At 42.2% G+C, this 27,795-nt stretch overlaps 3 long non-coding RNA genes, 2 other non-coding genes and 1 pseudogene across 5 annotated transcripts, besides 7 other annotated features; 3 read left to right on the forward strand and 3 right to left on the reverse strand.

Annotated features, from left to right (window-relative positions):
• Window positions 942-991: an enhancer, noted in NCBI's record as "active region_1640". NCBI's record gives its function as "activates an Ori minimal core promoter by ATAC-STARR-seq in GM12878 lymphoblastoid cells {active_cell/tissue: GM12878}" and the evidence as "EXISTENCE:reporter gene assay evidence [ECO:0000049][PMID:35858748]".
• Window positions 10,744-10,815, forward strand: TRQ-CTG7-1 (tRNA-Gln (anticodon CTG) 7-1). The gene has a single exon. It is a non-coding gene; the product is annotated as a tRNA-Gln (tRNA).
• Window positions 10,754-13,104, forward strand: LOC124904403 (uncharacterized). Its single transcript, XR_007066575.1, has 2 exons — window positions 10,754-11,294; window positions 11,458-13,104. It is a non-coding gene; the product is annotated as an uncharacterized LOC124904403 (long non-coding RNA).
• Window positions 13,105-15,796: 2,692 nt separating this feature from the next.
• Window positions 15,797-26,566, forward strand: LOC124904404 (uncharacterized). The gene is made up of 3 exons (XR_007066576.1): window positions 15,797-15,883; window positions 16,586-16,691; window positions 26,161-26,566. It is a non-coding gene; the product is annotated as an uncharacterized LOC124904404 (long non-coding RNA).
• Window positions 16,224-16,303: an enhancer, noted in NCBI's record as "active region_1641". NCBI's record gives its function as "activates an Ori minimal core promoter by ATAC-STARR-seq in GM12878 lymphoblastoid cells {active_cell/tissue: GM12878}" and the evidence as "EXISTENCE:reporter gene assay evidence [ECO:0000049][PMID:35858748]".
• MIR5087 (microRNA 5087) lies at window positions 16,411-16,486 on the reverse strand. The gene has a single exon (NR_049810.1). It is a non-coding gene; the product is annotated as a microRNA 5087 (primary transcript).
• Window positions 16,544-16,699, reverse strand: RNVU1-21 (RNA, variant U1 small nuclear 21; annotated as a pseudogene).
• Window positions 16,654-16,953: an enhancer, noted in NCBI's record as "active region_1642". NCBI's record gives its function as "activates an Ori minimal core promoter by ATAC-STARR-seq in GM12878 lymphoblastoid cells {active_cell/tissue: GM12878}" and the evidence as "EXISTENCE:reporter gene assay evidence [ECO:0000049][PMID:35858748]".
• Window positions 16,654-17,178: a biological region, named in NCBI's record as "NANOG-H3K27ac-H3K4me1 hESC enhancer GRCh37_chr1:147806861-147807370".
• Window positions 16,669-17,178: an enhancer, noted in NCBI's record as "NANOG-H3K27ac-H3K4me1 hESC enhancer chr1:147806861-147807370 (GRCh37/hg19 assembly coordinates)". NCBI's record gives its function as "activates a minimal SCP1, AML or CMV promoter by ChIP-STARR-seq in naive H9 embryonic stem cells {active_cell/tissue: H9 hESC(naive)}" and the evidence as "EXISTENCE:reporter gene assay evidence [ECO:0000049][PMID:30033119]".
• Window positions 17,179-17,686: an enhancer, noted in NCBI's record as "NANOG-H3K27ac-H3K4me1 hESC enhancer chr1:147807371-147807878 (GRCh37/hg19 assembly coordinates)". NCBI's record gives its function as "activates a minimal SCP1, AML or CMV promoter by ChIP-STARR-seq in naive and primed H9 embryonic stem cells {active_cell/tissue: H9 hESC(naive and primed)}" and the evidence as "EXISTENCE:reporter gene assay evidence [ECO:0000049][PMID:30033119]".
• Window positions 17,234-17,343: an enhancer, noted in NCBI's record as "active region_1643". NCBI's record gives its function as "activates an Ori minimal core promoter by ATAC-STARR-seq in GM12878 lymphoblastoid cells {active_cell/tissue: GM12878}" and the evidence as "EXISTENCE:reporter gene assay evidence [ECO:0000049][PMID:35858748]".
• Window positions 17,346-26,927, reverse strand: LOC124904402 (uncharacterized). The gene is made up of 3 exons (XR_007066574.1): window positions 26,576-26,927; window positions 26,145-26,313; window positions 17,346-17,851 (listed from the first exon to the last, which is right to left on the reverse strand). It is a non-coding gene; the product is annotated as an uncharacterized LOC124904402 (long non-coding RNA).
• Window positions 26,928-27,795: the final 868 nt, after the last annotated feature.

Genomic DNA, 27,795 nt, shown 5'->3' on the forward strand with positions numbered 1-27,795 from the left:
CAGGGTCTCACTTGGTCCCCCAGGCTGGAGTGCAGTGGTGCAAACAAGGCTCACTGCAGCCTCGACCTCCCGGGGCCAAGTGATCTTCTTGCCTCAGCCCCCAAGTAGCTGAGACGACAGGCGAGCGCCACCACGCCCGGCTAATTTTTGTATTTTTTGTAGATACAGGATTTCGACATGTTGCCGGGGCTCGTCACGAAGGGGAAGTAGGTTCTTTTTAAAAAGCATTTTTTCCGATTGCTTTATCGGGCATCCTGTGGGGCGCGCAAGCGGCGAGGCCTCCAGTGGCCTCTCTTGCCACTCTTAGGCAGGGAGCTGCGGGGACTCAGCTGCACTGTTTTTGGGTGCCTGTCTTGCGCAGGAGGCCGGAGCCGGGCAAGGGGTGAATCCAACAGGGAATTGCGAGGAGGAGGGCAAGGAAGTCGGTAGAGGCGTGGACCAGGAAGAAGAAACTTTCCAGTAGCTTTGTGCAGCGGTAAGGACTGCACAAGGGAGAGATGAGAAGTGTTTTTTTTATTGTAGCAGAATGGGGAAGAAAGGGGGGAAAAACGGAGAGACACCAAGAACGAACGAAATCTACGCGGACCCTTAGGTCTCCAAAAAGGAAGCAGCCCTGCATTACGTTTAAACAAAGAGCCCGGCGCCCTTCAGCTCCTGTGGCTTGCGGTGATCGTATTGTGGTTAGTACTCTGCGCTGTGGCCCCAGCAGCCTTGTCTCCAATCCGAGTCATGGCCACATCCATTCTAGGGTGTAGTGCTCTTCTTTCCCTTTCGCCTCCAGTCTCAGCCTAGGCTGAGCCTCTGACCTGCGGCTAGAAAGGTCACAACTTTCCTGTGGCTTAGGAACTCCCGGTAGTGTTGAGAATAGAAGGAACCCCTACGCTGCATGCCTAGGGGTCCGGTTATCTTGAAAGACTTTTGCCTCCTCTCTGAGCAAGTACAACACCCAAAAGATGAGATGCCCCCTCTCAGTCAGCCTTATTGGAATCTTTTACTGTTGACATGATATGGCTGTACCCGCTGTTCTGACTCAGATATTTCAAGAATCCGTGGGGCCTTTTCAGGCCAAATCAGAAATGAACAAGAGAAGATGAGAGTTCACACTCCAACTGGGTATTTTAAGTAAAACCTAACGAATACAGTAAAATCTAAAGTTAATGACATTCTCCAACCCCAATTTTTAATTTTGTTTTTATTTATTTATTTTTTGCTACCAATAAATGACTGAAGTATAATCCGCAGAGACCAAAGTGCACCAATCTTAAGTGCGTGGCCCAGTACATTTTGACAAAAAAAACCATCACCTAGATCAAGTTACAGCACATTTTCAACAGACCAAAAGGTCGTGAGAACCCCTTTTCAGTCAATCTTCACCCCATCCCCACTTAGGCAATCACTATTTGATTTCTATCTCTGTGGTATACTTTTACTTCTTGTAGAAATCACGTAAAGGACTATACTGATTTTGCCTGTGTTTTTCTTTTTTTAAATGCAACAATTGTTATGAGATGCTTCCATTTTATGACATGTATCTCAGCTCTTTGCTGTTATTAATGAGTGTTATTCCAACATGTGAGTATACTACAGTTGATAGACAATTGGGATATTTCTAGTTTGGGCTATTGTGAATAAGGTGTTTACAAATATTCTATTATGGGTCTCTTTATGGGCCTGTGCCTTCAATTCTGTTGAGCATGAACCCAGCAATGGAATGGCTGGGTCATGAAGTGGGTGTATTTTTAACTGTATTAGAAACTATCAGACAGTATTTTAGAATGGTGGCACTATTGTATTCTCTTTTATTTTGTTTTGTTTTATTTTATTTTATTTTTGAGACGGTCTCACTTTGTCACCCAGGCTGGAGTGCAATTGTACAATCTCTGCTCACTACAACCTCTGCCTCCCGGGTTCAAGCAATTCTCCTACTTCAACCTCAACCTCCCAAGTAACTGGGATTACAGGTGCCTGTCACCACGCCCAGCTAATTTTTGTATTTTTAGTAGAGATGGGGTTGCACCACATTGGCCAGGCTGATCTCAAACTCCTGACCTCAAGTGATCCACCTAGCTCGGCCTCCCAAAGTGCTGGGATCTCAGGCGTGAGCCACCACTCCCACCAATACTATTGCATTCTCTTGCCAGCAACAAGAGTTACAGTTGCTCTGCATTTTTATAAGCCAGTGGCTTTCCCTGTCTCTTAAATGTTACCCATTCTGATGAGTGTGTTATGGAGTATCATGGCATTTTAAATTTGTGTTTCCTGAATGAGTAATAATGCCAAGAATCCTTTCTTATGCAATTTGGCCATTAAGAAATTCTCTTTGGTAAACAAACACTGTTCAAGTGTTTTGCCCATTTTACATTGGCTTGACTCTTTTCTTCCTCCCCACATTTATACACAAACTTTTCTATTTGAATAGAAAAGTTGAGAAGATAGTACACAGAATGGAGTAAAGAGGATGGAATGGGTTTTTGGAAACCAATTCACACTTTAAAGTTGTTTTAACATCCTCCATCCCCAAAGAACAATGTATGTTTTCTGAAGACATCTCCTTATTGAAATATGCAGAGAAAGTGTGAGATAAAAGAGCATATACTAAACTCCTCAGAACGTGTTTCTGGAAGTGGACAGGGAAATGGGAGTGGGATAAACAGAGAAAAGAAGGAAAGACAGTAAGGGCCTTGCTCAAAGCAGCCACCATAATGTGCCCTGAGCTAAGGTACATGATTACCTTCTCCCTGTGCACCTGAGATCTAAGAAAACATATTAACTAATCAGGGACATGGATTTCAAAAACACTACAGAAAAACAGAAAATTTACCCAGACAGACCAGTCTAGTTAAGAAAGGCAGGAAGAGATTTTATAAACAAAGCAAAAACGCAGAAATCATACAATGAGGTGGTGGGAATGAGACGTCATCTCCAATATAATACTAATTGCTGCAAATTACAATGCACTTAAGTCTCTCAGATGGGATAGAAAAGGAAATGCCAGCTCTAATGGTTTAATGGGCAGAAAAGGGTAAAATATTCAAAGAAGTGCACATTATTATATATATGTATATATGTGTATATATATGTATATATGTATATATATGTATATATGTATATATATGTATATATATATACATATATATATAATTTTTTTTTGAGATGCAGTCTAGCTCTGTCACCAGGCTGGAGTGCAGTGGCACGTTTTCAGCTCACTGCAACCTCTACCTCCTACGTTCAAGTGATTCTTCTGCCTCAGCCTCCTGAGTTGCTGGGACTACAGTCACAAGCCACCATGCCCAGCTAATTTTTGTATTTTTAGTAGAGACAGGGTTTCACCTTACTGGCCAGGCTGGTCTCGAACTCTTGACCTCATGATCCACCCACCTCCGCCTCCCAAAGTGCTGAGATCAGACATGTGAATGACTGCGCCAGGTCAAAAGCAGTGCACATTATCTTAGCAAGCTAATGCAGAAACAGGAAACCAAACACTGAAGTTTTTATCGTTTCTTAAAGGCCAAGTGTGAACTATTGTGACAGCTTAGTCTGAGAGTTCCAGATACATAGCATGGTTTTTGCCCATTTGCTGGGTCTTTCCTCTCACATCCTAAGTGCTGAAAAGACACATGTGGCAGGGAAAGAGAGTTTCTTGAGCTTGCCACAGTGGTGGAGGCATATAGGTCATGATTGGCCACCACTAGAGTACAGGCACAAAATCTGGTTGCTTCTCTCACATGAAACAAAAGGCATCTACCACTGATGTTGGAGCAAGGAACCCTTCCAACCCTGGCCTATAGCTGGCCCCAGGTATAGGCCAGCTGCTGAGGTAGAGTTAGACACAAAAGCTGTCTATACTGGACAAGGGAAGACTTGCAATCAATCATTTGAGTTGGTTGCAGACCCTTTCCTTTAATGAGGAAAAACTGTGATGTGGGTACAAAGTTCCAACATCCAGAAAGATTGGCCTTGTCCTTAAGGATATTATGTTGATTGGATTTCTCTCAACCTCCTTCAGTTGTGTTTAGCATTATTAAAATTAAGTGACATTCACTTGGATGAAGTGGTAATAAAAACAAGCTGTGAGAATTTCTAGTGATTTTTGATACCAAGCCTTGTATCACTGTTGGGCTTTCATGTGTGTACTTGAAAACAAAACATGTAAATTGTTGCACTGGTTTGAAGATTTTAATGGTGAAAGCAACCTAATCAGTTATGAGTACCACATCGAGAAACCAACCTTGGAAATATGTGATTATGCTCTTTTAAAATAGCTGAAAAGAAAGATGGGTGTGGTGGCTCATTCTTATAATTTCAGCACTTTGGGAGGCTGAGTCAGGCAGATCACTGAAGGACAGGAGTTCAAGGCCTGGCCAACATGGCAAAACATCTTTACTAAAAACACAAAAATCAGCTGGGCATGGTGGTACACAGCTGTAATTCCAGTTACTCAGGAGGCTGAGGCAGGAGAATCCTTTGAACCTGGAACTTGAAGGCAGAGGTTGCAGTGAGCTGAGATCCTGCCACTGTACCCCAACCTGGGTGACAGAGGGAGATTCTGTCTCAAAATAAATAAATAAATAAAATAGCCAAAAAAAAACTGACTGTGTGTTTATTCTCACTTTGTTCTTGTTTTGTTGTATAATATTTAAATAAAAGGAGATTATTTATCCTCATACTGAATTTCCAAAACTGATATTTGCATTTAGTATTTTGTTAAATGATGGAGAGAAAATTTAATTGTCTTACTTTGAAAAGTTTGGCATAGGTTCTGTCACATTTTTGATGCTTTCGGTCACAGTTCTGTCATTAGAATGCTGGCAATTAGTTACATGCAAGGAGTATCCTAACCACTTTAATACGATGGTTTGAAGTGCTGCAGGCAGTAACTACTGGACAGCAGATCATAGTGTTTTTATCGGTGACACGTTAGAGAGAAATAGAACTTTCTGCAGTACAAATGTCCTATTAACTAATCCTTATGCTATTAGCTTACAGGGCTTTGTCTCCTGGGTCTGAAAAAGGCAGCTTCTCCTTCTAAATCCTGAATATTGACACCAATTAATGCCTTGTCTTCAGACTCTGGGGAAGATGACAAACAAAATGAACTGCTTTCACAAGACACAGAACCAGAAATTGAAACCATTCAATCCCTTTAGGCCCAACAATCCCACATGTCCCGTTTTCCACCTCATGCCCCCTCTTCCTCTAGACAGAAGAGGTGGGCACGTGAGAATTGTAGGCTGGAGTTTGAGGGATAAGTTTAGTTCAGAGACTTTCTTTTCTTTCCCTTTCTTTCTTTTCTTTTCTTTCTTCTTTCTTTCTTTTTTTTTTTTTTTTTTTTTTTTTTTTGTATTTTTGGTAGACACAATGTTTCACCATATTGCCCAGGCTAGACTCAAACTCCTAAGTTCAAGTGATCCACACACTCTGGCCTCTCAAATTCAGAGATTTTCTATAAATTAGACATTACAGTCAGGAGCACACTGATGCAAGGCCAACATCTGGGCTCGTGTATTGCAATATCAGGGTCTTCTAGAGCATTTATCTACTCCTTAATACAAAAGTATAAAAGGTTATGAAAGGTTTTTGGAACTCTTACCTCATGGTCAAACTGACTTTTTTTTTTAATGCCTCCTTATAATCTTTTTACCAAAGGTATATTTTAGTTTTCTTATACACCTTGCACATAAACTGTTTCTTTAATAGTACTCAGGAGGCCTTATTACTTTTAAATTATACAACTTTGTTTGCATAAAATTTTTTTATAACTTTTTTTCTTTCACGACTTCCACAGACAATTTTTCAACATGTCTCAACTTTCTGACTTATTACAAACACTTTTTTCTTTAAACAACCAGTTAATTTATTTCAGGACAAGAATTTACCACATAACTTTTTGTTTGTATAAATTCTGCTTCCTCCTTTTTTTTCCTTTTTTAAAGTGAACTTTCTTTATGTCTTTGGATAGACTGTCTAAGGCCACAAGATTAGAAGTTACCATAATACATGTTACACTGTTAACTTTTAGCAAACTTCACTTTTGTAGAAAACCTTGTAAGTTTGGGATTTCAATTGTCCTTTGCTATTAATAAGACCTTGTTTAGTCTAAATTAACTTAGAATTGGTATAGATGGCCTCTTTTTCTCTCTGATGGTCTTTACTTGCCTCTGCCAGCTGCTTATGCTGCTGTTCTCTTAACTACTGCGGGCAGGGAAAGGGGGTCTAAAACCAGCTGTAACTGTCCATGTACGGAAACTGGTCTGGGTGCCTTGGCTTAGAGGTTACCTTATGCCATACCTTTGAAACAAGGGACCTGTCCAGGCTTCCTTCTGATGGCCAACCTACATCTAATGCTGGCCAGTCTATTTCACATAAAGTTCTAAGTTTTTCTGGAGTCATAGTGACTCCATAGTCTCCATTGAATCCTTTCTTGAAATTTTTTAACATAGTTCCTAGTGGGGGGGGCTTATTTGTGCCTGACCCATGTTTCTTCAAGACAAAACACCACGCTCACACCACACGCCACACACCACAAAACAAAAAACAGGTAAAAAGGGCACACACACACTTCTGCAGTTTACACCAAACCAAAATCAAAACCAAAATCAGAGTATCCAGAAATCCAAGCCAGGTCAAAACCAAAACCGAAGTATCAGGCAATCTAAGTCAAGTCAAAAACAAAAACCAAAGTGCCGGTACAGGCACATTGTGGGTGATCAGGCCACGCTTCCACTCAAATGGAGTAGGCAAGTTCCCAAGACCAGTCCTGTCAAGCAATTTAAACCAAGTCAAAACCAAATCCAAAGTGCCAATAAAGGCACGCTGTGGGTGATCAGGCCACGCTTCTACTCAGATGGAATGGGCAAGTTCCCAAGACTAGTCCTGTCAAGCAATTCAAACCAAGTCAAAACCAAAACCAAACTGCTAATAAAGGCACGCCGTGGTTCCACTCAAATGGAGTGGGCAAGTTCCAAAGACTAGTCTTACCAAGTTTCAGATGTCCGGACTCCAAGTGCCAGTTCCTTCCCGGTGTTCAGCCACTGTGTTAATCCTCCGCGGGGGCCTGCTATGCATTGCTCTGGCAAGGCGTTCCACCGGGGCAATTGCCTACCCCGAAGCGCTCTTTGGATCATGTCACTCAGGCTGGCCGAAGTCTCCCGCAGAGACGCTGCACAGCGCAGGCTTAAGCCGCCTAAGGGGCTGCCTTGGCAGTCTGTCAGTCACCTCGCTTCCCAGTCAGGGAACCAAGAAAGGTAGCAGGATGAGTCACAAACAAAACCTCTCAGACACGGAGTTGTAGAAGGAAGGGCTTTATTCAGCTGGGAGCATCGGCAAGCTACTGCCTTAAAATCCGAGCTCTGGTCAAACTGATTATAATTAAACTTGTGTATAAGGTTTTATTAAAATTAGCTTTAACATTTTAATACACCACACAAAGGTAAAATTTGGTTTTCTCTTTTGATCAAAATGTTTGTGTAGTATTAATAATAGATAAAATATTTTTGTTTACTTTCAAAGTAAACTGCAGGGCAAAAGAAGGAAGGGGAGAGACACATACACATGGCCTCATGTTGTCTTCATTAGCTCTTACTGTTTAGAAAACTCAGCCTCTTTTCTAGCAAAGGGTGAACATTTTTGTTTTATCATTTTGGCTAAATGATTGACTATACTAAGGTGACCTGTGATCCTATTTTGTGATGTCAAGTGTCTCAAAACTTTGATATCTGGCAAACTTTCTAAGAGTAAAGTTTCTAAATTCAACCCTTTGGGCCTCAAATTAACTTTTTGGATATTAGGTTCTTGAAGTCCAAGAGAGATATATTAGGCTTCTTAGACTTATTTGTTATGTAGAATTATGCAAGGAGCATTGTCAAATCTGAGGTGGTGTTTCACTTCCTTTGGGTTCTATTGACACAGATGTGTTGTTAATGTGTGTTCCAGGATTGTATGAGATTCCTAGAGTTCTGCTATGCTGTCAGTAATAATTATGATTATTATGTTAAATTGTTGTGTGCCACAGAAACAACAGAATTCCCTTGTCAATTGTATCTATAACTATGGCTGTCTTAAGGCTTTTGTCATCCACAATTGTTGTTTTGCTTTGATTCTTCTTAAAAAGTGACTTATAATCAGTTACAGTCCAGGCCTTTCTTCTTTGGGGAAGTCCATGAAAAGGACTCTTGGATGCAGGACTCTTCTGATAACTTTGGAGATTGTGCCACTGAAGTAAAGAGAAAATTTCCAGGGCACTAATAGAAAGACGGATGTGTTCATAGAGATTGCTACCCCAATGTGACGCAGAGCAGGAGTTGATTGCATGGATTGAACTAATAGAGGACTGAAATAAGTTTTTATGGCCTTTGTTTGTTTCAAACATTGTTGATTCTTCAGAGTCTGGAGAACTTGTTTCCTTTTGAGCTATTTATAGACTGCAACAATTGAGTAGAATCGTCTTCTAAATAGAATTTGAGGCATATTGTTCTCTCTCTGACGAATTTCTACAGAATTTGTAAACTGAATATTCTTAACTCATGACAATGTGTTTGTTTGCATGAGTTCAATAAGATTCTGTTTTCTTTTATAATGGGACACAAGTGGAGGAACTGGTAATTTTCCCAGGGCTTTGCCTGAAATGGTGTTGTGAAATATTCCAGCAAAGCCTATTTAGGAGAGCCTATATGAACAAGGATTCTTGCTGCACTTTGTGTGGGTAATCAGGCCAAGTATATGGGACTGAAGCTTCTTTTGCAGGTAGGTTGGTCCTGCTGTGTTTTGTCTTTAGTGGAAGTGAGGGACTGGAGAGAGGAAGATTGTGTTTCAGGAGAAACTACAGTATTAGATGAATGTTTGATTCCTGGGTGGCCATGCAGTCACCCATGGTGTGGAGCTGCTCAGGATGCCCCTCCTCCACATGATGCAGCCAGAAAGATGGATGATCAGATTCCCCATGATTGAGGAACTGACAAATAGAAAGTGGGGACTGAAATCAACCCAAGAGTCCCACAGACAGTGTTTTTGGATAGACATAGAAATGGACCCTTCTGGTCTTAAAGCTTGAAACTTAGGACATTTGTTTTATCTGAGTTCCTTCCTCAGCAAAGGCCTCTCAGGCCTCTCAAAAAGCATCACAGACCTGAAACTCAGCAGATGACAGCCTCCAGACAATGAGATGCCAGACCCCTCACTCATCATGAGTGCTTCCTCACCCTTCCCTAGTTCCTCTTTTCCCACCCACAGTTAACATTTCTTCCCTGCTACATAAACCCCTCACTTTAGTTGATCAGGGAGATTGATTTGAAACTGATCTTCCATCTCCTCAGCTGCAGCACCCAATTAAAGCCTTCTTCCTCAGCAATACTCAATGTCTCAGTGATTGGCTTTCTGTGAGCTGAGTAGCAGGGCCTAGACCGAACTCCCGGGCTTTCAGTAGCAATACATGTACACTTTTAAAGACTGTAATTAATGGGTCATGATATATTGACAAATTGTAATGGTATCAACTTGGCCAATTCTGAGAAAATACACTGTGCTTCAATATCAGGGCCCTGCTCCTGACCTCGACAGTATATGGCTGATTTTGAGTCATAGTAGGAGAGTATGGCCTGGTTTGAGTGTTTTATAGAAATGTAAACATGGCTGATTTCTTTTATTTTAAATCCAACAAATCTCCATTTCTGGTGAGAAAATTTTGTTAAAACCAACCAACCAACGAAACATAGAAGAATATGAATAAAAAAATAAAGGATTCCCTGCTTCCCAATCTCACTTGATTGCTGTCTTCTATTATATGCTACAGGGAGGAAGGGGGCAAAGTGCCCAGGAAGTCCCATGTCCTGTTTTGACAATCATCTGGCCTCCTTGGGCAAATGGAAAAGAGGGAAAGCATCAAGAAAATAACAGAAATTTTGCAGATATTTCATCTCCGGGCTGGGTGCGGTGGCTCACACCTGTAATCTGAGCACTTCGGGAGGCCAAGGCAGGCAAATCACTTGAGGTCAAGAGTTCAAAACCAGCCTGGCCAACATGGCGAAACCTCATCTCTAGTAAACATACAAAAATTAGCTGGACATGGTGGCCCACACTTGTAATCCCAGCCACTGGGGATTACAATCACTTGAACCCGACAGATGGAGGTTGCAGTGAGGGGAGATTGCCCACTGCCACTGCACTGCACTCCAGCCTGAGCAACAGAAGGAGACTCTATCTCAATGAAAAGAAAGATGAAAAGAAAGAAAGAGAAGGAAGGAAGGAAGAAAGAAGAGAGAGAGAGAGAGAGAAGAGAGAGAGAGAGAGAGAGAGAGATTTAAGGAAGAAAAGAAAGAAAGAAAGACAGAAAGAGAGACAAAGAAAGAAACAAAGAAAAAGAAAGGGAGGGAGGGAAAGGAAAGAAGGAAGGAAGGAAGGAAGGAAGGAAGGAAGGAAGGAAGGAAGGAAGGAAGGAAGGAATGAATTTCACCTCAAAACAGGACCCAGACTGTGTCGGTCCTGAAGCCTCTGTGACCGAGGCTTCAAGGGCTCTTCTCTGGCCCTAAATCCACAGTGGATTTTGCCTTATTTTCCGAGGTGCACATGAAATGATAGAAGTCGATCAAAGGAGAGGGCAGAGAGAAAGCAAGAGGGCTGGGTCCTTCCTGCAGGTCCACCTTCCTCAGGTATTGCTTGTGGGATCAAAAGAAATGCCTTGACATGGGTGGGTGGGAACTATTGATACTTATTAGGAATCCACACACCTGCAGAAAACTTGCATTGTGAGGTTCCATGGTGTAATGGTAAGCACTCTGGACTCTGAATCCAGCCATCTGAGTTCGAGTCTCTGTGGAACCTTTCTGTGTAACTGGGACGATAATGCCGTCTTTTACTCCCTAAATGGAATGGGGATTCCGCTGACGTTCTTCAGAAGCTCTGCGCTGCGGGCCTCCGTGTCCCTTCTACTCCCGCTGTCTGAACCCCGCGATGTCCCCCGCGCTGTTCGTCCCCTCTTCGTCTCCCTCTTCGATGTTCCGGGTCCCAGAAACCAGGTTATCACAGTGGCCCGGATCATAGGGAAATTGCGAAATCATCCAGTTGGGATCACCGAGCCTGCAGGGTCCCCTTCCTGGGCGAGCCTCCTGGCCCCGTGCTATCGGAGGCCTGGACACCCCCGCCAGGGACCCAGCGACCCAGCAAGTCCCCACCCCCTCTAAGGGCGACCTGGGCCTCGGGGTGAGAGGTCTCCTACACTAAAAAGGCTGCCGCCCTTCAATCCTAGACCCCGAGATTCCTTTCACTCGGGAAATCTCGTAATGGCATCCATTGTCATTTTGGTAAGTAAATGGCGTGAGAAAATTTGATGGGGTTAGCTCAGTCATTGGAAATTGTGTCTCAGTTTACGATCGATGGTTTGAGACCTAACTTGGGAGTAGCACTGTTTTATTCAGATGGCCCATCCTATTCCGAATGTTAATTTGCTCTGTTCTTCATATTCAGATCTTTATGCCGAATTTCTAGCTCCTGCGTCTCCATTGCCGGTCCTAAAAGTCGCCGTTTCACTAAGCTTCGGAACCTGACTCCGAGAAATCTATTCGTTCGTCCCAAGATCTCAGCCAGAAAGAGAAATCCGCGCGGCGGCCTCTTCTAGCTCGGGTGCTGGGAGGCCCCGTCCTGATCCTCTGTCGCCCTGGCCGATCTCCCTCAGGGCCACGGGGAAGAGGAACCTGAGCAGCTCTGAGGGGCGAGTCTCTGACGGTGGGGCTCCCCCTCGTCCTGCCAGGACCCTGCCCCAAGGAGAAGACCCCTTAGGACGTTACCAGATTTAAACAATGTTTTCTCCTGCTCTTCAGAGCACCTGGGATAAGGTTCCTGATGGGTCTTGGGAGCAAACTAACATGTCGCTCCAGGCGCTCAAGACCATCCCTCTGATTTTCATATTTTGGGGCTGAGAGCGTTTAAGAAGGACTGAAAAACGCTGCAGTCTTTGAGGGGCTAAGTTTGGAGGATGCGGGAGTGGGAGAGGATGCCTTCTTGGCTCCTTGGAGTGGACTGGCAGGTAAGGAAACACAAACTCCGTTTCCCCTTGCAGGCTGGACTGCAGGGCCTGGGATGGAAAATTGGACAGTCAAAGAGTAACAGTATTTATGTAGAGGTTGGCTGCATTCATTAAAAATTGTTATCCCTACGGATAAGTGTAGGAAGGGACCAGGGCACTGCCGTTCACCACCAGCTTTGCAGCATATGTGACTTTGAAAACAGTGTATAGTGCATAAAAATTCATCCCTCTTTACAAATAATTGATCACAACCAGTTACAGATTTTTTTGTTCCTTCTCCACTTCCACTGCTTCACTTGACTAGCCTTATAGGAAAAAAAGTTATTTGTAAATATGATATTGTTTCAGTTGATCCTCAGCCCGCCCGTTCCCCACCCCCTGAAAGTAGCTGGAACAACAGGTGTGCACCGTGTGCTGGGCTCATTTTTGTATTTTTAGTAAGGATTGCCTTTTGCCATATTGTCCAGGCAGCTCTCGAATGCCTGGACTCAAGTGATCCGCCTGCCTGGGCCTTCCTGCTCCTCCCTGCTGGGATTACAGCTGTGAACCACCCCACTTGGCCATCAATTGTATTTTGAATTTAAATGTTTTATAGTCATCATTCTTCAAATATTCTTGGTTTTGTTGCATGTGCATGATGGGGTTCAGGACATGCTACCCCAAAATATAACATCTTGGGGTATTGAATATTTTATGTTAAGGGAATTTGAATAAACAATAGAAGCAGGAAGGTCACTGTCACCCTCCCCCTGCCCTTCTTTCCTGAAGTCGATTATAGACCCTTATGTGAGATGTTCCCTCTCTGTACCCAGAGGAAAGGTGCATCCTGGAGTCTGAAGACACAGGGACACAGAGAAGAGCCTGAACACAGAGGCCTGGCCCCGTTTTCCCCAGTTTGTTACTGTTAGATCATACTTTTATTGTCTTATCATACTTCTCCATGACTATCCATTCTTCAATAAAACTACTCTTAAAAAACAAACAAACAAACAAAAAACTGAGGTTTAGCTGTTTCCATGGGCCTTCATTTCCTTTGGAAGGCATTCCTGTCATGTAAAACTTACATTAAATAAATACATCTGCTCTTCTCTTATTAGTCTGTCTTTTGCTGTGAGGGTCTCAGCAGTGAACCTAGGCTGGGTGAGGAAAAGTCATATTTCCTCCCCGACATGTACAAATGTCTTTGACTGTAAAACTATAAGAATTTTACTGGGGCAGATTTGAAGCAAGAAATTGCATCATTATTCCCCTTTGGATGAGCTGAACAGATGAGCTAATAAACTCCCAGTTCCCCCCAGATAGAAATACTTCTCTAGCTCATTCCCTGAAGCTCCTAGAGGGTCAAACCTGCTGGAGATTAAGGGGCCTTCCTGGGATCTCCCAGCCCAGGAGGTTACTGCTGGTGAGAGGATTGCTGCAGTCTCCCTGGGAGGGTGCATGGCCATTGGAAAGTATCACTGCTGTAACTTCAGTACAACTGGTTTTCATCACATCTGCTCTTTGTGCAGTGTTGCAGGCAAAATACAAGAGCTAACATGCACATGAGAAACACATGCACATCATCAACTGTGCCTGCAACACAAAGTGCCACATGTCAGGCACAGTTGATGAGTGTGCATATGTTTACTCATTTAGTCCTTACCTCAGGCCGAGGTCACATCATCACCTTCATCTTCCATATGAGAAAACTGAGATGCACAAAGATGTTAAGTGACCTGTCCAGGGTCACTCAGCCAGCAAAGAAGAATTTGAAAGCAGGAATTTGAAGTGAAGGCAGCCTGGCTCCAGAAGACATTCTCAGAACCACTGTGTTTATACTGCTCCTAACAAAATCACCCTTGCAAAAATTATGACAGTGAGAAAAACCTGACATAGGAAAACTATGACTGTGAAAGAAATCTGACCTAACTGACTGCATCTTGCTTCTAATCTCTGAGCTGCCCTTGTCCATTCCTGGGAATAGGCCAGGCTAACTATGAGAGGAGTTTAGTTTAGTCTAACTCTGAAACAAAGATGATTGTCGCTCCTGAGACAAACCCCTTCCTTTCTTGGGGATCAGACCTCCTTAGCAAAGCTAACAAATTAGGCACGAGATTGGAATTTATGGCTCAGGAGCCGTGCAGCCAGAAGTCACATGATTCCTAAGCTCCCCAATTGTGCCTATATATAGTATTATTAGTGTCAAACCTAATATTGGTGTTTAAGATATTTTTCAGACCCTGCCTTGTGATGGACTAGCTGGTACCACTCAGACTGGTAAACTGGCTCATCTGGTCCTGTGGCCCCATCCAGGGACTGACTCAGTGCAAGTAAACAAGCTCTTACACCCTGTGATTTCCAACCAATCAGCTTTGCACATTCCCTAGCCCCCTGCCTGCCAAACTATCCTTAAAAAACAAAAAACCAAAAACCAAAAACCAAAACCAAAACAAAACAAAAACCCTAGTCTCTGAATTTTGGGGGAGGCAGATTTGAGTAATAATAAACCCCTGTCCTGGTCCCTCAGCTGCATCTGCATTTGTTAAATTCTTTCTCTATTGTGGAAAGCCTGCTGTTCTCAGCTCCATTGGCTTATCTGGGCAATGGGCAGAATAAACTTACCAGGCAGTTACACTAATAAAAGAGAAACACAAATTGTAAGCATGCTTCAAAAGAAATGTTAAGTCTTTGTATTTCTTTTGAAGAAACACAAAAGGAGGAGGAATGATAAGACAGGCAATACACTGTCCTAAATATTTTCATGATTCTCCTGCCTCCTTCATATCCTTCTTATCCCAACAACTTCTCCCCAGAAACCTTCAACTTAAACATGGTCCTGCCAGAACTGGGTTTGTCCTTCCCTTAACATTTTCCTCTCACCTGCCCTACACCCCTTCCAAATCTAATCTGTTCATTCACTTCCAGGTCATTGAGGATTTTCCATTTAAAAATATAAAAAATTCATAAAGAGGAAGATAACTGGTCATCCATATTCACACCTCCTGGAATTAACTACTGTTAACATATCTACATATTTTTCTTCCGAATCATTTTTAAGCTATTGTCTTTTTTAAAAAAAATTTATACATGCTAAGCATAGACCGTACTAACAGTAGAGAAAATGTAAACATATGTAAAATTTTTGATCACCTTAAGTTCAAAAATAACTTCTCATAACATTCGGGCAACACTGGAGTCATGGTATTGTGTTATATCTACAGAGAGAAGAAAGTATATTTTAGCTAGACTGTTCCCCCCAGGCCCCACAAAAGAAAAAAGAAGAAAAAAAATAAAGAAGGATATATATGCCTGAAAAAATTATAAAATTATAAAAATATATAAAATATATATTTAATATATAAAATTATATAGTATATATAATTCTATATTTAAAAATATAAAAATATATAAAAACATATATGTATGCTTTTATAAAATTGAGCTTAGACTCTATTTTTATTTTACAAATATTCCACTTAATAGTGCATGAACTTAACTGCAGACAAAGAGACAGAAACAGAAATGAAGGAATTCCTGAACTCCCTAGCACAGTTAGAAAGACATTTGTCTAAACGACTCCTCTAAGGGCAAACATACATTAAATTAAGGAGAAGACATTAAGATTTGGAGTGGTTTTCTTATTCCTTTTTACAACCAAGTTAAGGTGTGAGTTGCCTATGGTACAATGCATCCATTTCAAGTTTGATGACTATTACTCTAAAAGGTCCTCTTGTGCCCTTTGCAGTCAGTCCCGCCCTCCCCCTGGCCCCAGCAATTAATGATGTATTTTCTGTCACTATACAGGTTAGTTTTACCTGTTCTAGAAATTCACCTTGATGGCGCCACACAGGATGCCCTCTTTTCATCACTCGGCATGATGTTTTTGAGGTAATCCATGCTATCTCATGTTTCTGTAATGTGTCCCATTTTATTGCTGGGTAGTTGGGGTAGATCGCCGACACATTCTGCCGACAAGTCAGACTGCGGTTCTGACCTGAAGGCCTCGGTGAACATAAGCAAGGGCACCTGGGCGCGGGGAGAGCCGTTCCCCTACAGAAAGCAAGCGTGTTGTGTCTACAACCGAACAGGGACACTGCTTTCATCCCAAAGAACAGCACCCGTCTGCCTAGAATTTCTACCTGGCTCTAGGAGGTGAGAACACATTCCCCGCTAGCACAGAAATCCTACAAACTTCTGTGGGGGCTGCGGTTAGAAGCACAGGCTGTGTGAAAGGTGACTCCGGGGGCTACGAAAAAACACGAAGGTTTTCACATAGGGTGAGAACCCAAGACACTGGAGACCATGAAGCAATCTTGAAAAAGCAGCCCCACGTGGAAAGGGAAGAGAAGAGCACTGGGGCCACTTAGCTTGTGTTAAGCAAGCTCATGATAGGGGCGGAGAGGACAGTAACACAATACTTTCTCTTTCTTATGCTTGCGACTGTAGGACAACACTTAACATGCCAGCAAAGCTACAAACCCGTAGAAAGCTAAGTAGAAACTAAGAGTAGCCCTTCCTGCAGAATTCACTTTTTGCACTGCAAGATTTCAGCGGAAAGCACTAACGCAGTTCTCCACTGTTATTGTGCAGCCAAATTTCTCCCATTTGGGTTAATCGCAGGATCAGCACGTCCACAGTGCAATGGAAAAGCAACGCCCTGGGAAAACAACCTTCATAACGTCCTCTCCGATGCCAGGTAATTAGGAGTTCACACGTTTCCGTCTTGCTACTGCTCCACACGCCTCACCCTTTTTACACACGGTCACTTGCCCCGCGCACCCCGGAGCCCTTCCAGCCTTGACACACAGCTGGGACTTTCAGGTCTGAACAGCGGTCCTGGACTTGCTCCCACAGCACGGGAACTCCTTCGTAGCGAAGCAGCCGGTGGCGAAGCAGCAGCCCCTGTGCTGCCTCATCTACATAGAAGTCGCCCTATCCGTGATGTCACTGACAGCGCCTTTCCCGTCCGGCTCTGCTTTTCCGCCCCACCTTCTGCCACTCAGCCGACCAACATGCTGCCAGAGACTGCGGGGACAGTGACGTCTGCCTTTCCTTCCTTTCCCTCCCTTCCCCGCCCCAATCTTTCCAAGGAAGCAGGTGTTTCTGTTGTAGTTTTTTGTTTTGAGCCGCAGTCTCGCTCTGTCGCCCAGGCTGGAGTGCAGTCGCATCATCTCTGCTTCCTGCAACCTCCGCCTCCAGGGTTGAAGCGATTCTCCTGCCTCAGGCTTCTGCGTAGCTGGGATTACAGGAGCACACCACCAAGCCCTGCTAATTTTTGTATTTTTAGTAGAGACGGGGTTTCACCATGTTGGCCAGGCTGATCTCGAACTCCTGACCTCAGGTGATCCGCCCGCCTCGGCCTCCCAAAGTGCTGGGATTACAGGCTGAGCCATCATGCCCGCCCAGAAGCCGGTTCTTAGCCTGTGTTGCCGATGACCTCTTTGGCAGACAGCTGGAGGCTGTCCACCCTTCTTCAAATAATGGTTTGTAATGCGCAGACTAAAACATGTAGGATTACACAAGAAACTAGTTCTCTTCCCATCGTTATTCTTCTGATGTAGCATTCTACTTGAAATTGGAAGCCGTTCAGTATCAGAGAGAAACCATATCTATGAAACTAGAGATGCTGCTCAGATGACTGCAAACCAGCCATCCTTACTTGTTTTACCATTAGTAGTGCTATAAAGACGGTGGTCCAATTTCATGAATCTTGTAGGATTTTTTCAAATACAGCAATGTACAAATATGCTGCCCCAGCAGAGCACACTGGACACTCAGGCATGGTGCTGGAGTTTGTCATCTCTTCCATGGCCTTCTGTAGACCGTAGCACTTACCTCATGTTAGCACTTTATATTCTGCAAAGAGAGAAACAAGTGGTCCAAATTTGGAGAAAAAAAATTGGGGGAAATTTTATTTGAGGTGCTTAACTGATTACTTTTAATTTGTAGAATACAATCCCAAACTCTGACAATACTCCACAGACTCCAAATCTATCAGGCAAGTTTTTCCTGTCCTTTGCTTTCATATAAATCAAATCATAAAGTGTGTAGTGGGTTTTGGGGGAGTATAACTGCGCAGTGGGTTCCTGTTGCCTGCTGCCTAGACAGAACCAATTTATCAAGACAGGGGAATTGCAATAAAGAAAGTTGTTTACCCAGAGCTGGCTGTGTGGGAGACCAGAGTTTTATTATTACTCAAATCAGTCTTCCTGAGCATTCTAGGACCAGAGTTTTTAGGGATAATTTGGTGGGTGGGGGACAGTGAGTTGGGAGTTCTGATTGGACAGGTCAGAGATGAACTCACAGGGAGCTAAAGCATGCTCTTGAGCTGGGTCAGTTCCTGGGTGGGGGCCACAGGATCAGATGAGCTGGTTTATCCATCTGGGTGGTGCCAGCTGATGCATCGAGTGCAGGGCTACAAAATATCTCACAAACCGATCTTAGGTTTTACAATGGTGATGTGATCCCCAGGAACAACTTGGGGAGGTTTAGAATCTTGTAAGCTAGAGGCTGCATGATCCTAAACCATGATTTATAATCTTGTGGCTAATTTGTTAGTCCTGCAAAGGCAGCCTAGTCCCCAGGCAGGAAGGGGGTTTGTTTTGGGAAAGAGCTGTTATCATCTTTGTTTCACAGCTAAACCATAAACTAAGTTCCTCTCAAAGTTATTTTGGCCTGTGCCCAGGAAAGAACAAAGACAGCTTGGATGTTAGAAGCAAGACGGAAGCAGTTAGGTCAGATCTCTTTTGCTGTGATAATTGTCCCAGTTATAATTTTTTCAAAGTCGGTCTCAGGAGCAGAGGCATAGGTTTGATTTCTTTCACTCAGTCTTACATCTATGAATTTTTCATGTTACTCATGTGGTTATTTGTTTCTGTGCACAATCCTTTGTATGAATATCGGCCAACTTATCTATTTATTCTACTGTTGCTGAACATGTTGACCTAAAAGAAAGAGGCTGAATCACAAAATAGAATCTAGAGTTTACTTGAGCCAATGTGAAGACAGCTGCCTGGAAGACTCACACCCAAAGAACCTTGGATCTGAGCTCCCTTTGGCCTTTGTCACAAGCAGGTTTTTAAAAGTCAAAAGGGGGGGATGCACAATGGGCTGATAGAAAGGTGCCCGTCAGGAATTCTCATTGGCTTTCAGAAATAGCATTGATGAGAGCTTGGCTATCCCTTGTTATAGGGTGTGGGATACAGTGTTTGGTGTGGCATTATTAGATTAATTTACAGCTACCTGGGGTGATAGCAAGCAGTTTCAACAGATGAATACATAGCTCAAAAAGAAGGAAGCAGAAAGTGGTTGCTGTCTTGATTTAATGTCTCTCTGATCATGTGAAGTGGCTCACATTCCTCAGATAAAAATTCTTTAAAAAATCTTTCTTCTTGAAAGCATTGATGATCAAAAGCTCAGCCAACGTGTCCCTCTTTGCCAGGAAAGCTCATTCCCAGATAGTCTTTCCCACGGTGAGGGCAGGGGAGGAAAGGAGCTGCCTCACTGAGGAATTTTTAAGAGCACCCAAAAGCCCAATTGAAAGGGTGACACCGAGTAGAAAAAAAAGAAAAAGAGAAGAAAAGAAAAAAAGGAGGAGAGAGAGACCTCAGTTAAGTCTGCAGCTATCACTCGTTGAATCATTTCTAGTCTTCAGATACCATAAAATCAGTTTTCTCAGAAGCAGGAAATATATAGCATTAATTATTTGAATAGTACACATATAATTCACACAAGAATGAGAATCACAAAGAGAATCTGTATGCCAGAACAGTAAGGGAACCTATTCCATTAGGGAGCCAACGAAAAACATCAGGGAAAACATCACATCCCAGTTCTTCTTTCATGATTTCTTGTAGCCAAATGACTTCTAATTTTTTCTAGATGAGGTTCTACTTCATGGGAAGTATTTATTTATGTATATGCAACAAGAGGTTGTAAACACCACACATCCACCTCCCTGCTCAGCTAAATCTATCATCTAAAGCGGGCTGCGGAGGCTGCTGTTGCTGGGGCTCTCCCCTTGGTGTTCTGGGCTGCGTTGTACTAAGTGGAGAAGGTGGTTGTGGGCAAGCGTTGTGCATAGATCACAACCAGGTGGGCAGGGGGCTGCTCTCTCCACACTATCAGTTGACAATGTACAATTCCTTTTATGAACTCTTGTAAGTGCTGCTGTATCTACCCATTGTTTTTGTTTTGTTTTTATTTTTTTGAGACAGAGTCTCTCTCTGTCTCCCAGGCTGGAGTGCAGTGGCACGATCTCGGCTCACTGCAGCCTCTGCCTCCTGGGTTCAAGCGATTCTCCTGCCACAGCCTCTCAAGTTGCTAGGACTACAGGAAGATGCCACTGTGCCCAGCTAATTTTTGTATTTTTAGTAGGGACGGGGTTTCACCCTGTTGGACAGGCTGATCTCAAACTCCTGACCTCAGGTGATCCACCCACCTCAGCTGCCCAAAATGCTGGCATTACAGGCATGAGCCACCTAGCCCAGGTTCTACCCATTTTTAAATAAGGCTAATAGTGTCTTTGAAAATATACATCATCTAAAGTGACGCGATTATCTAGTACAACCTTAGCCAGTGAATGAATAGCTTTTTGATGAGCTGTGAAAGAGGCTACAGTTTCATCAGCAATACCTTTCTTTCTTTCTTTCTTTCTTCCTTTCTCTTTCTTTCTCTTTCTTTCTTTCTTTCTTTCTTTCTTTCTTTCTTTCTTTCCTTCTTTCTTTCTTTTTCTTTCTTTCTTTCTTTTTCTTTCTTTCTTTTTTCCTTTTCTTTTCTTTCTTTCTTTTTTTTTAAGACATGGTCTCGCTATGTTGCCCAGGCTAGATTGCAGTGATGCAGTCTCAGCTCACTGCAGCCTCAACCTCCCTTGCTCATGCAATCCTCCCACTTCAGCCTCCCAAGTAGCTGGGATTACACTGACGCACCACTACCCCCGGTTAATTTTTGTATTTTTTTAGTAGAGACGGGGTTTCACCATGTTGGCCAGGGTGTTGAACTCCTGACCTCAGGTACTCTGCCCTCCTTGGCCTCCCGAAGTGCTGGGATTACAAGAGTGAGCCATCGCGCCCGATTCTTTTTTGAATGTTTGGAAGAGTTCGGCTGTGAGGCCATTTGGTCCCGGGCTTCTCTTTGTTGGGAGGTTCTTCAGTCCTTTTATTTGTTATTGGTCGTTCAGGCTTTCGGTTTCTTCTTGATTCAATCCTAGTCGTTTGTATGTTTCTAAGAATTTATCCATTTACTCTAGGTTATCCAATTTGTTGGTATAGAGCTGTTAATGATAGTTTCTTATGATCCTTTTTACTTGTGAGGCTTCTGTTGTAATACCTCCACTTTCATTTCGGATGTTATTTATTTGAGTCTTCTCTATTTTTTTCTTAGTTTAGCCAAGTGTTTGTTAATTTTACTTTTTCCAGAAATACAACTTGGGTGTGAGAGGCCTACGTTGCATCACCACTGGAGGCCAGTAGTTCCCAGTAGGCCTGGGAAGAATAGTAAGATGTTGTCTCTCCTAAAAAGAGGGAGAAAGAGAAAGGAAAAGGAAAAAAAAAACCCAACAACTCAGTTTTGTTTATTTTTCTGTAGTATTTCTATTCTTCAGTTGATTGACTTCTGCATCGATATGTTGTTTCCTTTCTTCACTGAACTTTGGATTTATTTTGTTGTTTTTTTCCTGGTTTCTTGAGGTGTAATGTTTATTTGAAGTCTTTCTTCTTTTTTAATGTATGCATTTATGGTTATAAACTTGACTCTTAGAGCTGTTTTTGCTGTTTCCAAAAGATTATGTTGTTTGTTTTCACTTTTGTTTGCCTCAATCAAATTTCCCTTTTGATTTGTTCTTTGATCAGTCAGTTGTTAAGAGTTATGTTGTTTAATTTCCATGTATTTTTGAATTTTCCAGTTTTCCTTATGTAGTTAATTTTTAGTTTCATACCATTGTGGTCAGAAAAAATAATTGATCGGATTGGAATCATTGTTAATTTGTCTAAGATGTACTTTTCATTATTTTAATTAATGTATAATAGTTGTACACATTTTGGGGATACACATGGTATTTTGATAAACATATACAATTTGTAATGATCAAATCAGTGTAAGTAGTATATCTGTCACCTCAAAACTTTATCTTTTCTTTATGTTAGGAATATCCCAATTCCTCTCTTCTAGTTATTTTAAAATATACAAGAAGTTATTTTTGTATATACTATCAAATACTAGAACTTATTCCTTCTATTTAACTATATTTTATATGCATTAACCAATACCTTTTCTTCCTTCTCTCCTGTCTCCTTCTCAGCCCATCTCCTTCTCTCAGCCTATCCCCTATCTCCTTCTCAGCCTCTTGTAACCACTAATTTTTATATATGATATGACACATGAATTCAATTTTTTCTACTTGTTTATTTTTATATAGTTACAAATATGTTACATCAATTGCTTAAAAAGAAAATCCTCAATCATTTGTTGAAATATTATGTATTTTTAAATACATTGCTTTTTTAAGATTGTCAAAAATCTGTTCTCAATATATGTATTGGTTTATATTTGGACTCTATTTTCTTTTGATCCATTTAATTGATCACATACCAAAGCTCTGTTGTGGCCATTACAACTCTGTGATTGTTCTTTAAATCAGGTGGAGCTAGCCCTCCAATTTTGCTCTTCGTTATATAGGCATTTTTGTTATGCTAGTTCATGTTAATTTTAGAATCAGCTGCCATTTTCTACCAACGATGCATGCTGAAATTTTGAGTCAGATTGCATTGAATTTATAGATCAAATTAGGGGAAATGGACATCTCAACAATATTCTTACACATGAACAAACAATATCTTTCCAGTTATTAGGCCTGCACTATGTTCTCTGTGAAATATGCTCTAATTTTCAGTCATATTCACATTTATGGATTTTATACACTTGACATTATTGTAAATGATATTCCTTTTACATTTAAATTCTGCCGTGCAATTGCATAAATACAATTTATTTTTGCATATTGATCTTATATCCTGCTAGAAACAAATGCTTTTTGAATTCAGGTTTGATCGGCCAGTGGCAGTATCTTTGGAAACTTTCATATTTACCAGGCATGAAGAATCTTTCTCATTTCAATTGGACCTTTATCACCAGCCCAAGGGAGAGGAAAGTCCTAACGCATATCAAGTTCTGAGGTTGGGAAGAGTTGTACTTTGTAGATAAATGCATGTGAAATGTTCTGTATGTTTGCCAATAAGTTTTCATTAAGATTACTCATGCAGTTATAAGGCTGCCCATTTGCACTTGTGTTTAGCTGCAATACTATAGTTGTAAAATTTAGAAGCCAATGTTCTCCCTTAGTTTAAAATTTAATATTCAAGAATTTACTCCAGTATTATGTAGTGCCAGAAACTTTGGGATGATATGCAATGATATGTCCAGCAAGTATGAGTTTGTACCTGATCCTTATTAGTCTTCCTTCTGATGTGATCTATTATAAAATGAGACCTTAAAGAGCTTTAAAATAATTAATAATGGCATGCTGAGGAGATTAGTTTGTGGGATATTCAGTAGCCATAGGAAACAGTAGTTCCTACTCTGTATCTCAAGTGAGAGTCCACTCTTCAGTATGTCAGCTTCAAGACCCTGATCTGCAGTGGAATTTGCAGCCCCCTGCTGTGTCAGCTTCATTACTTCAAGGGAGGGTGAATGCCTTCAGTTCTTTAGGTCACAATTGACACATGTAGCACATTTTGGTACCTCTTCAGTTACTGACCTTTATGCCCACTCATGTCAGGCTTGCTCACCTGAGTGATTCACAAGATCACATTCCCAATGCATCAGATCACTGTGTCACAAAAAACCAAAAGCATTTATTTGTCATTATGTATCTCTCCTGAATTTCAACCTTGATAGGCTAACATGGCTCACAAACAGCTTTAAATTTGGCTTCTCAAATGTCTGTCTAATGGTTTACAAAAGTCCAGTTACTCAAATGAATTTATCTTACAGTCCGGTTTCTATTGTTCCATGCTGTGCCTCAGTGACATAAACCAAGAGTCAGTATATACAAAGATTTATTCCCACTGGTTTATAACCAACCAATAAATAGTATGCCTGTTATATATAGTTCTGTGCATTGGGTTGCCAGTCTCCTTCCTTCTTTTACCTGATTGTTATTGGAAGTGGAGATGATGTAATGTTATGGGTCACTTCTATTAGCGTCCCTGGACTACAGTTCTACCATCTATTTTTTAAGCTGTTTTACCTTGTTATATAAGATCTGCATATTTAGTAGCATCATTTATGTTATTAATAGTTAACATCTATGGTAGTCACTTCTTTGGTTAGGTCAGAGACTAAAATCTGAAAATTAGAAATCCATTCTTTATTTCAGGTGTGTGCATGCTGTTGTGTTGATCCCTCTCCTCTCCCAGAAAAGTCATTGTAGGCCCAAGTTGATGAAGGGACAGACTGTGAAAGAATGGATGCAGAGCATGGACTAAGTATGCAGTGCCCACTGAGTTGAAAATGTTGCTAAAGTTGCTTTTCTGCGATTGTCTAACATTCCTCTGAGTCACCTCGTCTGCTGCTTAAGAACCCCAAAGCATTTTCTTCACTGTCTTGTGGCCATTGTTATAAACTCCACTCTGTTCTTCCTGTGTCAACTACCACACAGTCTGTTTCATTCCATGGCCCTAAAGGCAGAGCCATTTTTCCAATTTTAGGTACACTAAGGGTATCCTGTTTCTGCAAAACCAATGGATGTTAGTGGTTCTCTTAGTTGTTGTTGTTGTTGCTGTTGTTTTTTTTTTTTTGACGTATGAGGCCATAATTGGAGTAATGTGAAAAATATTTTTTCCTCCAGAAGTTATTAGATGCTGCTATATCCAATATTTGTTCTATCAGTACACTATAATGTATCCCAGCTATGCATTTTATATTTCCTAAAACTTCACTTCTGAGAAGGCCCTTCACGAGTTTTTAGAAATTCATGGCCCACCCAGCAGCATTACTAAGTCTTTTGGAGTCTAGCCTCATGGTCTTTCTGTTGATTTTCCTGCTGTCAACATGTAATCTGTGAAATGAAACAAAGGGAGGGGATCCAGGCCAAGACTTGGCGACATTCATTTATGACAGTCAGTAGTCAGACACTATGTGCAGAGATCCTCCAGATCCTGTTTGACCAGCATCTTTGGGAGGTTAAGAGCCCAGCCCTGTCAGAACCACTATTCATTATCATCGACCCTTTCACCAGAATGCACCTGTGTGTCGGCTACTGATTTTCTCACCTCCAGGCAACTCAGGCTGAGCTGGGAGCAGAAATCTTAAGCTCTTGTCACTAAGGACTCTTCTGTGCTTCCTCTGTATCACCCGCCATAACTAGCATAATGCTTTACTCACAGGGGCTCAGGAAATGCACTTGTTGAGCTCAACAAATTGAGAATCCAAGTTGCCTGATAAGCAGAGATGTTATGGTGTAGAGAATTGGATAGGGTAAGCAGAGGAACAAAACAGGTTGTCATTTTGTTGTTATTGTTGTTGTTGTTGTTTCTTAGAGTACAAAAATTGTGACTGGCAACTGCTGGGGAATCCTAAGGCAGGACTTTAGTCCCTAACCCCCCTACATTCTCACTACATTCATGGAAGCTGCTTTACTCCTTTCCACCTTAGGTATTTAATCTATAATTAGAGGATAAAATACACAATTTCTAAATGCTAGTACTATGACTGATATAGAATTTATTTTGGACACAGGTGAATCTTGAAGTCTGCAAAGCATTTCAATTACCAAACAGAGGCCAGGCACGGTGGCTCATACCTGTAATCCCAGCACTTTGGGAGGCTGAGGTGGGTGGATCACCTGAGGTCAAGAGTTTGAAACCAGCCTGGCTAACATGGTGAAAGTCCATCTCTACTGAAAATATAGAAAATTAGCCGGGCATGGTGGCCTACACTTGTAATCCCAGCCACTCAGGAGGTTGAGGCAGAAGATTCACTTGAACCCGGAGGCAGAGGTTGCAGTGAGCTGAGATCATGCCATTGCACTCCAGCCTGGGCAAAAGGAGCGAAACTCCATCACAAATATATATATATATATAAAAGTAGACAGAAGATAGATCATCTGTGATTACTATGTCAAGGACAATTTTAGAATTCTTGTTAAACTCACCTCTTTCTTTTCACAGCTGGCCAGGACTTAGTCAGTATCTACTGAAACCTTGAATATCTTGGCTGTGTTAACTGTTTTGACCCAACATGGAGCGAAAATGTTGGTTGTACCTTGAGATTCTGACATCTGGTTGAAGTCCAGGTTCACTGGCCCAGGACAGGTCATTCAGCTGTTTGAAAAAAAACAGAAGAGAGACCAGGCCATCCACTGAGGTAATCTCCATGCAGCATGAACCACTGGTTCCAATGAACCCACCATCACCATACTTCTCAGGAATCGCTGGTCACTAGACTGAGAGTTCTGTGAAAGCTGAGATCATATCTTACTAATCTCTGTGTTCATGGTTCCCAGCTCAGGGTCTAGCACTGAGGGAGTTCTCAGGAGAGTGTTCATCAATTATTGAATAAAAGCGATTGCAAACCTCCTCTCACCTGCATTCCTGTCCCAAATATCCTGTCAGGGATGCTGAGATTTCTCCCAGGATGCAGCAAATCCCTTTCCTTAGACTGGCCCTTGCCTTACACCATTCATGCCCCAGGATCCGTCTCTGTGGGACATTAGAGGAAAATGAGTCTGTTCTGAAGAAGTCCTCTTATGGTTCCCCCTGTCGTTAGGAGCAATGTCTTCACCTAAACTCCCACTCTCTGGGTTGCCACAACACCCCAATATGGGGGAACTTCCATATTTTCTTAAAATGCTATGTTTCTGTTCTTTCTCTCATGGGCTTGAGTTCCTTTGGGGAGACATTAATATCTGAATCCCAAGTGTTTAACACAATGTAAAGAAAATTAAACACCCAATAAATATTTATGAGATATCATTTGGAAACCTCCTTCAACTGTAAGTACAGAAGAATATTATAAGTATCACTGCTTTGTATACTAGCAAGGGACGCTTACTCTGGCACCTGACCTAGGGCAGAGCTTTTTATGTAAGAATGGATGTCTCCAACCCTTCTCCCAGCATGGTTATTCCCTCTAACCCACACTGACCTGAAGAGCATCCACTGCTATGGCAGCCCCAAGGTCAAGGCTCCTGGGTCTGGGGCGGGGCTCATGGTCGCATCTTCCCCCCTTGGAGTTGCTGCTGCCCCCTCACTATAAACCAGCTCTGATCCACCCTGTGGCTCTCCCTGGCCAGGGGCAGGAGACTCCTGTGGAGTAAATTTCTCTCTCAGTCCCCACTGCTCAGCTCACGCTACTCCTTGAGGGCTTGGATGATGATAGGCATTGCCCATTTCCCCTGAGGCTTCTGTCCCAATTTGTCCTTATTTCCCCCTTCTTTGGTTTTCATTTACCAATGGCTTGTCCTTTGTGGGTTGTTCTCATCCCCTAAACCTGCTGACTTTCTTTCTTTCATCTGTTCCCTCAGTTCTGGGCTTCCAGTGTAGGGACTCAGCTCAGGCTCCTGCAGGAGACACACAGAGTCAGGTCTCAGCTGCAGGTCCTGGGTGGCATTAAAAACCATCTCAGTTCCTCAGAGACTCAGAGAAAACAAAGTAGGAAGGGACCTCAGAGAGGAACAATAAGCCCCTAACTCACTGAGGAGGAAAGTGAAGCCAAGAAAGACTAAGACTCTCCCAGGCTCCCTCACCACATGGTGGCAGCAGATCGACCACACAAGCCTTGGCCTCAGCCTCCAGGTCTAAAGC

Source organism: Homo sapiens, chromosome 1 (genome assembly GCF_000001405.40).
Source record: "Homo sapiens chromosome 1, GRCh38.p14 Primary Assembly".
NCBI lineage: Eukaryota > Metazoa > Chordata > Mammalia > Primates > Hominidae > Homo > Homo sapiens.